The sequence below is a fragment of the Homo sapiens genome, chromosome 16 (genome assembly GCF_000001405.40).
Source record: "Homo sapiens chromosome 16, GRCh38.p14 Primary Assembly".
NCBI lineage: Eukaryota > Metazoa > Chordata > Mammalia > Primates > Hominidae > Homo > Homo sapiens.
In genome coordinates this window covers 22,510,733-22,524,356 of record NC_000016.10, presented here as the reverse complement: position 1 = coordinate 22,524,356, position 13,624 = coordinate 22,510,733, and the positions used below count along the sequence as shown (strand labels likewise).

General features: G+C 45.6%; 1 protein-coding gene and 1 long non-coding RNA gene across 6 annotated transcripts in view; one reads left to right on the top strand and one right to left on the bottom strand.

Annotated features, from left to right (window-relative positions):
* LOC105371131 (uncharacterized) overlaps window positions 1-10,936 on the top strand; it is a 25,459-nt gene extending 14,523 nt beyond the window's left edge. For both annotated transcript variants that reach the window (XR_007065022.1, XR_007065021.1), the window contains one exon: window positions 9,856-10,936. This is a non-coding gene — a long non-coding RNA (uncharacterized LOC105371131). The remainder of the gene's footprint in view (window positions 1-9,855) is intronic.
* NPIPB5 (nuclear pore complex interacting protein family member B5) overlaps window positions 1-13,624 on the bottom strand; it is a 32,937-nt gene that overhangs the window by 12,179 nt on the left and 7,134 nt on the right. For 2 of the 4 annotated variants that reach the window (NM_001395851.1, NM_001135865.3), the window contains exons 2-4: window positions 10,747-10,835; window positions 10,436-10,593; window positions 409-537 (exon numbers count right to left, since the gene is read on the bottom strand). In NM_001395851.1, the coding sequence (NP_001382780.1) occupies window positions 409-537; window positions 10,436-10,555 (249 nt within the window). In that variant the 5' untranslated portion in view covers window positions 10,556-10,593; window positions 10,747-10,835. Of the gene's footprint in view, window positions 1-408; window positions 538-10,435; window positions 13,467-13,624 lie in introns of those variants that run through there. The other 2 variants (NM_001395850.1, NM_001395849.1) reach the window with 2 other exon arrangements.

Genomic DNA, 13,624 nt, shown 5'->3' with positions numbered 1-13,624 from the left:
GTTAAGCTGTCTGTTGTCAGCTCATTTCTGCAGTGAATCTTCAGAGAGGAGATTGGAAGCTTTCCTTCCACCCATACGATAGAACTATAAAGCAGAAGAGTTTAGAAAGAATTTCCTATTTAAGTGACGAAACCTCATACTCCATTTGTGATAAATAGCACAAAGGTTAAAAAAACTTATTTTTGACCAAAAGCTCTGTTGACATTCTATTAAACAAACACCGACCTATTTAATTTTCATAATGCAAATGGCAGATGTTTTCATAATTCTTATACTAATAAATCATTTCCCTGATTTTTTGGGTAAAACCACATATTCATAATGAAGTCCAGAAATGTGAATTGTTTTATATAATTTATTCTTATTTGTGATTACAAGTATACCTCTACAGAAAGTTAGTATACTCACCCAAAGGTAAACTATCCAGAGGGTAATGACAACTTTATAACTTGTCGGAAACGCAATAATGACATGTAACCAAGGACTTCCACCAAAGTCAGTCCCACGATGATGATGGTCAGCCAGAGTATTGATAACCTGGAATAATAATAGTTGAAATAATGAAAAGGTCAATGACACTGACAATATTTCACTCAGAAAGAATCATCCTTAGAAACCGTCAACCTCCTCCAAAAGGTAACCACATCCCTCAGATATCACCGTGGGATTCCACTGCTACAAAAAAGAACAGAAGTTAGAAGTCACATGTTTTTCAGATGGCTGGTAGTGTTTTCAGGCATTGCAAATGTGGGGTGTTGTCTTTCTTGGTATAAAGCAGGGATATCCAATCTTTTGACTTCCCTGCCTATATTAAAAGAAGCAAAGTTGTCTTGAGCCACACATAACATACACTAACACTAACAATAGCTGATGATCTAAAAAAAACCTCTTTTTTTTTTTTGAGACAGAGTTCCGCTCCACTCAGTCGCCCAGGCTGGAGTGCAGTGGTGCAATCTCGGCTCACTGCAACCTCCAGCTCCTGGGCTCAAGCCATTCTCCTGCCTCAGCCTCCCGAGTAGCTGAGATTACAGGTCTCTGCCACCATGCCCGACTCATTTTTGTATTTTTAGTAGAGATGAGGTTTCACCACGTTGGCCAGTCTGGCCTTGAACTCCTGACAGGCGATCTGCCTACCTCGGCCTCCCAAAGTGCTGGGATTACAGGTGTGAGCCACCGTGCCCAGCCATTTTTTTGTTTTTGTTTTTGTTTGTTGTTTTTGAGATGGGGTCTCACTCTGTCACCCAGGCTGGAGTGCAGTGGTGTGCTCCCGGCTCACTGCAACCTCTGCCTCTCAGGTTCAAGTGATTCTCCTGCCTCAGCCTCCTGAGTAGCTGGGAGTACAGGTGCCTGACAGTGCACTCAGCAAATTTTTGTATTTTTTGTGGAGATGGGGTTTTGCCATGTTGGTCAGGGTGGTCTCGAACTCCTGACCTCAGGTAATCTGCCCGCCTCAGCCTCCCAAAGTGCTGGGATTACACGCATGAGCCACTGTACCTGGCCAAAATCTCCTAATGTTTTAAGAAAGTTTACAAATTTGTGTTGAACTGCATTCAAAACTGTCCTGGGCCACATGCAGCCCGTCACTCATGGGTAAGACAAGCTAAGTATAAAGTAATTATCTTATCTTTTCTTTTCTTTTTGTTTTGAGACAAAGTTTTGCTCTGTCACCCAGGCTAGATTGCAGTGGCATGATCTCAACTCACTGCAACCTCCGCCTCCCGGGTTCAAGCGATTCTCCTGCCTCAGCTACTGAGTAACTGGGATTACAGGCGCCTGCCACCACGCTCGGCTAATTTTTGTATTTTTAGTAGAAACAGGGTTTCACCATCTTGGCCAGGCTGGTCTCCAACTCCTGACCTCATGATCCACCTGCCTTGGCCTCCCAAAGTGCTGGGAATACAGGTGTGAGCCACTGCACCTGGCCAGTAGTTATCTTTTCTTTAAAGTTATTTACTTGTTTTTTAAATTGATGTATAACATTGGATGCATTTATTATATATCACATGGTAAAAGAATCCCTCTAAATAATACTTCTCTCTTGGATTATATGAATCTTTGTCATTTAAATCTCAGCATAAGTAAAAAAAAAAAAAAATACAATGAAGAGATTACTTCATTCACAAATAAGTATCAAATTTTAGTGCTTAAAAATTAACAAGGTGGGCTGGGCGTGGTGGCTCACGCCTGCAATCCCAGCACTTTGGGAAGCCGAGGTGGGTGGACCACGAGATCAGGAGATTGAGACCATCCTAGCTAACACGGTGAAACCCGTCTCTACTAAAAATACAAAAAATTAGCAGGGCATGGTGGCACGTGCCTATAGTTCCAGCTACTTGGGAGGCTGAGGCAGAAGAATCACTTGAACCCGGGAGGCAGAGGTTGCAGTGAGCCGAGATCGCACCACTGCACTTCAGCCTGGGTGACAGAGCGAGACTCTGTCTCAAAAAAAAAAAAAAAAAAAAAAAAAAAAAAAAAAAAAATTATCAAGGTGGAGATCATGAAAATGGCATGAATAGTGTGGGATTTCTCTAAGATTGTTGATATTAATTCCATTAGACTCTTATGTGAGTGAAGACGAAGACTTCCCCTGAGTAAGTTCAGACAGCTTGTGATAACATTTCTACGTCGATTCCTCAGGATTTAACTATATATTCTTGAAAACATCTCAATTTTAAATGTTTCTTTCAAGATGGTGAATTAAACAGAGATAGCCCTTCAACAGGTTGAACTCAGCATATGCTGAGTCTGAAATGGAAATGATGAAGTTAGAGAACCATACAACAATGGTAATGATTTCAGAAACATGGTGTTGAGCAGAACAAAGCAGACACAAAAGAGTACCTATGGCATGGCATGCATCTGTATACGCGAAATTCCAGAATAAGCAAGCTAACCTATGATAAGAAAGAGACTGGCTGGGAAGACTGAGAGTTCACTTTCTGGGGTGACATAATAGTGTAGATCTTGGCTGGGCATGGTGGTTCACGCCTGTAATCCCAACGCTTTGGGAGGCCGAGGCGGGCGGATCACCTGAGGTCGGGAGTTCAAAACCAGCCTGACCAACATGGAGAAACCCTATCTCTACTAAAAATACAAAATTAGCTGGGAGTGGTGCCACATGTCTGTAATCCCAGCCACTCGGGAGGCTGAGGCAGGAGAATCGCTCGAACCTGGGAAGCAGAGGTTGCGGTGAGCTGATATTGCCCCATTGCACTCCAGCCTGGGCAACAAGGGAGAAACTGTCTCAAAATAAATAAATAAATAAATAAATAAATAAATAAAATAATGTAGATCTTGAAAGGGGGTTGGTTTATGCTGGTGTATGTACTTTCCAAAGTTAGTAAACTTACACTTAAGGTTATATATTTTGGCCAGGCGCGGTGGCTCACGCCTGTAATCCCAGCACTGGGAGGCTGAGGCAGGCAGATCACGAGGTCAAGAGATGGAGACTATCCTGGCGAACATGGTGAAACCCCGTCTCTACTAAAAATACAAAAAATTAGCCGGGCGTAGTGGCGGGCGCCTATAGTCCCAGCTACTTGGGAGGCTGAGGCAGGAGAATGGCGTGAACCCGGGAGGCGGAGCTTGCAGTGAGCCGAGGTCCCGCCACTGCACTCCAGCCTGGGCGACAGAGCGAGACTCCGTCTCAAAAAAAAAAAAAAAAAAAAAAAAAAAAAAAAATTAGCCAGGCGTGGTGGTCTACTAAAAATACAAAAATTAGCCAGGCGTTGTAATCTGAGCTACTCAGGAGGCTGAGGCAGGACAATTGCTTGAACCCCAGAAGCGGAGGTTGCAGTGAGCCGAGATCTTGCCACTGCACTCCAGCCTGGGCGACAGAGTGAGACTCTGTCTAAAAAAAAAAAAAAAAAAAAAAAAAGTCATCAAACCAGATGACACAAATCAAATGACATTTCACTTTGTTTTGGTCCATTTTCTTTGTTAAAAACAAGAGTGCAGCGGGGCCATCTCGGCTCACTGCAACGTCCAGCTCCTGGGCCCAAGCGATCCTCCCACCTCAGCCTCTCCAGTAACTGGGATAACAGGTACGCACCACCAGGCCCGACTAATCTTTATTGGAATTTTTTGTAGAGATGGGGTTTCGCTATGATGCCCTGGCTAGTCTTCAACTCCTGGACTCAAGTGATCTGCCCACCTCGGCCCCCTAAAGTGCTGGGATTACAGGCCTGAGCTGTGTAATTTCATGCCACGTGATACAGCCCAGTAAAAAGGAAGAAACCCCACGGGTCCAGCGTCTACTCACAGAGATGCACTGATGGCTGATAAATTCCAGTAGGAGCCCAAAGAGGAGCCAAAAGAGCATCCACCGCACCCGCATGTCCTGGTCCTTTCAGGGCGCCCTGAGGCGGCCAGGACAGAGGTGGAGGTGGCTTAGGGCAGGGGGGAGGGAAGGGGACGGGGACCGGGGCCGGATCTGAGTTGGGGAGGGGGAGGGGGAGGGGAGGGGGAGGGGAAGGGGAGGGGAAGGGGGGAAGTAAGGGAAGGGAAAGGAGGAGAAGGGGGCTGTTGGGCACCTGGAGGAGGTGGAGGAGGAGGAGGAGAAGAAGAAAGGGGTCTGGGAAAGGATCCGGTTCAAATTAAGTTCTCAAGCGCTGGTGGAAGGTTTAGCTACAGGTCACGGAGAAGATCAGGGAAGCAACAGGACACGCGGGGCAAGGGAGCGTGAGGCTTAGGAGCAATCAGAGGGAGACAAAAAGGTTCTGCTATCCACCAAACCTTCTTCGGTCTGGGCCCTCCCTTACCAACCCTGGGGCTTTATACTCCCTCTCCACCAATCCCTGATGACCCCGGTGGTGCCTCACAATGGACAGTGCCTCACAATGGACAATGCCAAGTAGCGCCCGCATCATTCCAATGACCCCTCCCCCATCTCAGTCTCCCACACTCCTCCCAAAGACAGGTCCTCTCTGGAACCTTCACAAACCTGATTTCTGGTCCTCCCCAACCAGCTCCCTGTCCCTGCTTCTGGGCGCTCCTTCCTTCCTGAGCTCCCAGGGTTCCTCAAGGTCACTTATGGCGACAAAACATAAAAAACAAATGATGGCAGGATGGCAGGAAGAACCTCATACCCAAGCAGAGTGCCAGGTTTTACAGCCTCCGCTCAGCCATTCATATCCTAAGCAACAAAACATCAGCAGGGTGCGGAAGGTCCCGATAGTAAACCATCTCCATCACATCCATGTAGCCATCCGTCCATCAACCTGTATCTCAGGAACAAATGTAGATACATTCATTTTAAGCATGCCTGGTACATTTACAAAAATTAACCTGACTTATTTTGTTCCAGCAAATCTCAATATATTTGAGAGCAATCAAATCACACAGCATGTTTCTGATCATATAACTGTGCTAGAAGTCAATGATTAAAAGCTAATTCAAAATTATTATTTGCTTGGAAATTCAAAGTGCCCTTATAAGACATAAACATAAGAAAGAATCCAAAATGAAACAAGATTGCCTTTCAACTCAATGATGAGATCATAACATGGCAATAAAATGTCTCCCTCTGGCCTGGGAATTCCTCTTTGTGGCACAAGGTTGTGTGATCTCAAATCACCGCTAACCCACCTAGACATTTTAACATCCGAAACCGAGTGATGACGTCCTTATCTATATCATCTTACTGCCTGTGTGTGTGGACTTTAAATTCTGAACCCAAATGAGGGGGAGAAAACCAAGTTGACTTTCATGACTGAGCTCTCAGGGACGTCCAAGGAATCTGTGCATTTCAAGAAACAAAGTTCATCAGCTTCTCTCCTAAGGTATTTGCCCACAATACCCAGAGGGCTTGGCAGCATCATGTGTGATGGGTGGGGAGCTCCAAGCAGGTGGGCAGGACCCAGGGGCCTGGTGACCAGGACAGACCCCCACTGTCCATCACCTTTCCTGGCCCTGTCCTCTGCTAAACTTCCCACAGGCCTTCTGCCCGATCACACAGAGTATGCCCAAACTCTCTCAGGCCTCTGGCAGCTGAAAACCACTGCTTTAAATCCCTTTACCATTTACTATGACATAAGGTTATTGTAAACAGGAAATATTCTATTGATGCTACAAATGGAAAGCCAATGCCTTTACCATAAATAGAAAAACAACCCTAAGAAGCAAGCAAAACAAAAACAAAACAGGGGCTGGGTGTGGTGGCTCACGCCTGTAATCCCAGCACTTTGGGAGGCCGAGGTGGGCGGATCACAAGGTCAGGAGTTCCAGACCAGCCTGGCCAATATGGTGAAACCCTGTCTCTAATAAAATACAAAAATTAGCCGGGTGTGGTGGTGGGCGCCTGTAGTCCCACCTACTTGGGAGGCTGAGGCAGGAGAATAGTTTGAACCCGGGAGGCAGAGTCTGCAGTGAGCCGAGATTGCACCACTGCACTCCAGCCTAGGCGACAGAGCGAGACTCTGTCTCAAAAACAGCAACAACTACAAACAAAAAACAGGGTTAACAAAAGTATGGAATTCAATTCTTTTTATATGCTGCAGCCATGTTCCTGCCCTAGATTTGGCTGGGCATGGTGGCTCACGCCTGTAATCCCAGCACTTTGGGAGGCTGAGGCAGGCGGATCACGAGGTTAGGAGTTCGAGACCAGCCTGACCAACATGGTGAAACCCCGTCTCTACTAAAAATACAAAAATTAGCCAGGCATGGTGGCACACGCCTGTAATCCCAGCTACTCAGGAGGCTGAGGCAGGACAATCCCTTGGACCCGGGAGGCGGAGGTTGCAGTGAGCCGAGATCGTACCATTGCACTCCAGCCTGGGTGACAGAATGGAATGAGACTCTGTCTCAAAAAAAAAAAAAAAAAAAAAAGCAGCCCTAGATTTCGGTTGTGGTGGTTGTAAAAGGAGAGACCAAGTAAGTGGGGGTTGAAGTCAGATTAGAGCAAAAGTGAATGGCAGAGAGTACTATAATGTCCATGAAGGGCTGCTAGAGTCACCGTGATCATAGCCCAAGCAGAGATAGGGAAAGGAAGATGTGAGCAGAGTTTGGGGTCTCGAACAATGGAGGTTATTCGTGCAGCCCAGGAAAGGCTCCCCAAAGCCAGGATCAACCTCCCTTGGAGGCGGTCCCTCATGGAGGCATGGTCAGGCACCTTAGATTTGAGACCAGCTATGTTGCTGCTGACCAGCTGTGTGACCCTGGGCTGGTTTCCTTCCACACAATGGGAGTGCCAATGGCTGCATGCATGCAAAGACCGTCTGAGGATAGGAGGAAGCAATCTGTTGAGCACCCGTGTACCTGAGTGTCATCACCTCCCAAGGGCATCCTTCGTTCCAGAGCTGGCACCTTGGAAGGCCCTTGGTCACTGAAGGCAGTGATGATGGTAACAGCAGTAAATCATCATTTACGGCTGATGAGGGAAGGCCAGGGGTAGGGCTCCTAGGTCCTGGATAAGAATGAGGGTCTGGGCACTCCTGGGGACAGCTGAGTGGTAGGACTCCTGGGTCCCCAGGGGGCAGGTCCATCTTCAGTGGCATTGGGCCTAGGCTGGGATGCTGAGTTATCCACTGGAGCATCAGCAGTACAGGCAGGCACAGAGGCAGTGGATCCATCGGAGGTGGCAGGTGTAGGATCGTCTGGTGAGCAAGTAGAGTCACCAAATCTGGCTGACCACTACCCCCACTACCCCCACTATCCCCACAGACGATGCCCTGTCCCTTGCCTCATGCTCCGGCAGGGTACAGGCTCGCACCTGGGGCCTCAAGGAGCATCTCTCTAAGACCTCTGTGTCCTGGTCATTGAATGGGCACTTGAGTCACCCAGGGCCATTGGAACAAAGAGGAAGAATCAGGCCCCACGATGTTTTGGGAGAGTGTTTAGCACAGGAAAATGCGCAGAATACACGCACGACACGGGGGCACTGTCAGTGTGGGAGCAATGGTTTACAACCTCCAGCCCTAATCTGAGCACTCTCACCTGTGCAATCTGAAAGGAACAGGAGACTTGCAGGAAAGACAGTGCCTGGATTTAACTTAAAGGAACTAAAAATGTTGGAATTTTTACTCTTGATATCCTTCCAAATCAACTCTCTCAATGTTCCCATCCTCAAAACTATCATATGGGGTAACTGAGGCAGTCAGAGATTTACTGACTCAATGTCACTCAATTGATTCTGAGTTCACTGCTGATTACATCCGACCAAACTGCTTTTTCTGAAGTCTACTCCGTTTAATCATGCTGGTGATGATTTTGTGCGGCTCTGGGACAAACTCCACCTGGCTGAAGATAAAGCAAATCTGCGGTGACTTAGTCCTCCTGTCATTTCCCATCAGTTCCCCACTCTCCTCCTCTGCCCCTCCACAGTCTCCCATGCAGGCTGACACCATATGACGGCCTTAATGGAGTCCACCGAGTATTTCAGGTTCTCTCCTGGGCCACTTGAAAGTGGATGTACCCATGGGATTTGCTTTGACCCAGGAGATGTGCGTGGAAGTGAAGCGTGTCACCTCGAGGCAAAAGAGTTGGGAGCCATTGAGACGGGCCACTCTCTCCTTCATCTCTTAGAGCAGCTGACAGCTCCCATATGGAGGCTGCTCCTTTATTCTCGTGGCAGGATGAGGGCATGTGGGGCACAGGGCACAGGAGAGCCATGGAGGATGTGCAGCATGGGCAGGAAAAGAGCCTTCAGTGGTGTACATTTCCATAGTTTGGGGCTGTTTCTTACCTACAGTGATACCTAGCCCATCCTAGCAGGCATGCACCATCTACTCCACACTCTGTGATGCAGACTAGCCTGCCGTCAGAACACGAACTGGTGGTCAGACACAGGTAGGTTTCAGTTCCAGCTCTGCCTCTTATTGACTGCAACCTCAGGCTTAACTTTCAGTCTCTGAGCCTCAGTTTCAACTCTGTAAAATGAGGTGGCTATACCATCTCAGGTTGCAGAGAGAATTAAATGAAATATAAGTGCATGTAGAGCATTGAACCCAGGGCCTGGCACACACAGTGAGTACACAATGTTAGCCAGGTAGCTTCATAATGCATACTGATTGTCAATATTCAGACAATGCAGTAAAGTGTTACCAAAAATAAAAGTAAACTTATTTGCATATGTATTCTTTCAATCTTTATTTTTAAACAGGGTAAAACTATGCATATTCTTTCATAGCCAGTGTTTTTCTCTTCATAGTATATTGTTAAAATAATTTTACTTGGACCGGGTGCAGCGGCTCACACCTATAGTCCCAGCACTTTGGGAGGCCGCGGTGGGCAGATCACGAGGTCAGGAGTTGACACGAGCCTGGCCAATATGGTGAAACCCCATCTCTACTAAGAATACAAAAATTAGCTGGGCATGGTGGCACACACCTGTAGTCCCAGCTACTCAGAGGCTGAGGCAGAGGAATTGCTTGAACCCGGGAGACAGAGGTTGCAGTGAGCCAAGATTGTGCCATTGCACTCCAGCCTGGGGGACAGAGTGAAACTCTGTCTCAAAAAATATGTGTGTGTGTGTGTGTGTGTGTGTGTGTGTGTGTGTGTGTGTGTGTGTGTGTGTGTGTGTGTGTATCTATATAAATCTCAAAAATAAAAGATCATTTTTGAGATTATCATTTTAAAAGACAAGATAATGTTCAACTTAATGACTAATTTAATTATTACTATTGGACTTTTTGTAGACTGCACAGAGCATTCAAAACAAATGAAGGAGAATAAAAAATATGTATTACATGTTATAAAATAAATGTGATGTGGTTAACTCTTTTATTCAAAGTTATAGAACATACATATGTACTATAGAATGTATTATTATGAGTCATGTTAAAAAGTAGTTTAGAAGCTGTTGATTTGAATTTCCTTTTCAAATTTTGCAGGATAATTTTTTTTTTTTTTTTTTGACAGAGTCTCGCTCTGTCGCACAGTCTGGAGTGCAATGGCGTGATCTCGGCCCACTAAAACCCCCACCTCCTGAATCTAAGCAATTCTCCTGTCTCAGCCTCCTGAGTAGCTGGGACTACAGGCTCACACCACCATGCCCGGCTAATTTTTGTATTTTTAGTAGGGACGAGGTTTTGCCATATTGGTCAGGCTGGTCTCAAAGTCCTGGCCTCCGGTGATCCACCAGCCTCAGCCTCCCAAAATGCTGGGATTAGAGGCATGAGTCACCATGCCCAGCCTAAACTTGGCAAGATAATAAATCACCTTTTTAAGTGTCGTTGGGCACTTGTCTGGTTGTTTTTCTTTAGGTTACCATGCCAGCAATGATTCCTTTTGAGTTTCTGACAGAAGATAGTGGTTTTCATCCAAATAAGTCAACTACTCTACCCCATCCCTAAGCCACTTGTATGGAAAGAAAAAGAGGAAGAAGCCAGTACTGTGACTGCGTAAGCTTCCCCCAGCATCACCGGCTATGAGATGTGTGGCAGCTGAGACCCGGGAACTGCTCAAGGGCACCAGGCCCCATCTGTCTGCACTCACTCACCTTCCTCAGGTACTCGCATGGGCATGTCACTGACTTTACATGCTGCTGCAGCTCCTTGGTGAGCTGGCCCTGGTCATGGGACAGGAACTGTGGGGTCAGGACAATAGAGAGCTTCACCATTTGCAGAATGAGAACAGGGGCTCATGATGAGTGCCAACCTATTAGATAATTTAAAAAAAAAAGTGTTGAATGAGTGGAAAAACAAGGTGATGTTTGAGTCTATAGTGGTCAAGGGCTTCAGAAAAGGACAGAACCAAGTTCAAATTCCTGTACTTTGAATTTCTACTTCATGCCATGCAAAATTACTTTACCCCTTTTAACCTCAGTTTTCTTCTGTGTGAAACAGGAACAATAGTTTCATTCGTCATTCAGTTTCTCTCAAGATTTCACGAGATCATACCTATAAAACATCCAAGTCATTTAAATGTATCATCATTTCTGTCATAATTAGTGGGATCCATTTCACTATTATTGGATATACAGTTCTGTGCCTGAAACCTACAAAAAAACAAAATGTTAAGTCTAAAAAGCATTAGTGATTTCTCATTTTTATATTACTAATTATAACCCTATTTAATCACACAAGGCCTTGTCCGCGGCAGGTGCTCAATAAACACTTGTCGAATCAATGCATGTGGGCTCCGGAGCCACACTGTTTAGATTCTATTCTGCCTCCACCACTTATCAGCTGTGTGATCTGGGTAAGATAATTCACCTCTTTATGTCTGCACTTCCCTCTCCATAAACTATATATAATGAGAATCCTTAGCTCATTCGGTTGTGGTGAGGGGTGAATGATTTGGCACACAGGAGGGGCTTGTTAAACATTAGCTGTGATGATCTCCTTCCAAATCTTCATTTTCAGAGCCACAGATGAGGCCATAGTGCAACCAGGTGACCTTAGAGTGTAAGTACACATGATCGCCAGCTATGCTCTATCTCCACCATAGGTCCAAGACTGGGTAGTTCTGGCCTGGAGGTTTCTGCTGCATCTGCCTTCTCAGTGTTCACCTAAGGACTTTTGTATTTTCCTCCTCGCATCCCCACAGATGGGGTTCAGGCTGCCGGACACAGCTGGGTGATGCCAGGGCAGTGGTCACCTGTGCCAGCCCCGTGAGGTAGCTGGAGGATCATTGTTCCTTCCTTCTCGGGCTCTGGGCAGATGCCAGGGCTGGGGTGACCCATGCCCTCAAGTTTCTTGCTTTGGTGGGCCACATTTTCCCTTGGCAAAGAGGGTAAAGGTCACAGGATGCCGGAGAGCTGTGACTTCTCTGTGCCCTGGGCCCAAACTATGAAGACCTGACACACTATGCTAAAAGTCCAACGCTGGGTGCTCCCCAGAGCTTCTTGCCTCACCGCTTCTGCTGAGGGAGGAATGAATACTATGTCCTCCCAGAGCTTTGGGAGCTTGTAGCAAGCAGCCTCCCCAGCGCAAAATCTCTTGGAAACCTCTAACTGTGTCTGAAACATTAGTGCAAATGTTGCATCCTATTTCCCATATGTCCGCATGTTTTAGAAAAAAACCCTCAATTTCCTAAATATGCAAGAAAAATCGGTATTGTAGGACAATGTGACTTTTTAAAAAATGTTATTTAAAAATCTTCCCCACCTCCTTTTCTGCCCTCCAAGACTGCCAAATACTTGTTGAACATATATTATTAAATGCCTACTACATGCCAGCCATGATTCATGGTCTTGGGGACACAGCAGAGAACGAACTGACAGGACTCCTCTCTTATGTAACTCACATTCTTATATGATAATGATAAGGGTTAACATTAATTAAGCTGTCACTGCATGTTAGTCACGGTGCAGTCATTCCCACACATTATTACACTTAAACCTGCTAGCAAGCTTGCAAGGTAGTTAGTTGTTTTTCCTTTAAAAACTGAGTCTCGGAATGATGAAGCACTCTGTCCAATGTCACACAGCTAGTAAGTGTGGAGACCTTGCATCCAATCAATGCCCGTCTCATTCTAAAGGCCATGTTATGTGTTCTCCAGCCCATGGAGAATAATTTTAACACAGTCAATGAAATTTCTACACAACAATGTTCTTGTCTCAAGTCCAAGAATGCCTCCTACACCTCCTATAATACTGGCTTTCTGGTGAGTAAAGATGCCATTCTCATGTGTAATCAGGTGGCAAATGGAGATATGACCAAAGTAACCACCTGCCTACACTCATAACCCTGTACACACTCTTCCTGTGTCGATTCAATTCAAGTACCCCTTTTGATCACTTAGCAAATCTGACCTTTAAAAGGGTTAGGGTTTTTATATCCATGTAAGTTTCTGTATTGCTTTGGAAGTCTCTGGTTAAATTAATACTCTTTTAATAGTGACCTGTGATTCTGTTTTGATCAAGTGTTTTCAAACTTGACATCTTTGATGGGTTTCTCCAGTGTCAAAATCCTAAATCAAGTCTTTTTGGCTTAAAACTAACTTTGGGATTTTTTTCAGCTGCATCCCTTGGGGAGTCTAAAGAATGTATCTCTCATCTTGTAGAGGTATTAAGTGATTCGATTTATTTGGTAGATTAAATGGGCAGGCATTGTCAAATGTGGCGATACTGCATGGGAGGGCACTGTCAAGTGAGGTGACATTAGATCTCATCTCAGTTATATTTATGGGTATGTTGTTGATATGCGTGTTCCAAAAATTGCATACATTTATACAAATTTAATATGATTTGTAATTTTGATAGTTATGCTAAATATTTGCTAAAGTTATATTTGTATAAACATGTCACGAATGGCTGGGCACCGTCACTCATGCCTGTAATCCCAGCACTTTGGGAGACAAAGGCACGTGGATCACCTGAGGTCGGGAGTTCCAGACCAGCCTAATAGAGTGAAACCCTGTCTCCACTAAAAATACAAAAATTAGCCATGCCTGGTGGCACATGCCTGTAATCTCAGCTACTCGGGAGGCTGAGACAGGAGAACTGCTTGAACCCAGGATGCGGAGGTTGTAGTGAGCCGAGATCATGCCACTGCACTCCCGCCTGGGTGACAAAGGTAGAATCTATCCAAAAAAAAAAAAAAAAGTTATTATTTCTGAAGATTGTATGAAATTTATAAAAGTCTGCTGGCCCTGATATGATGCTGTCAGTCATGATTCTGATTACTGTCTTAAAATGCTGCACATAAGTAAATTTCCTTGTGAACTGGGAAGTTTCATCAGACTT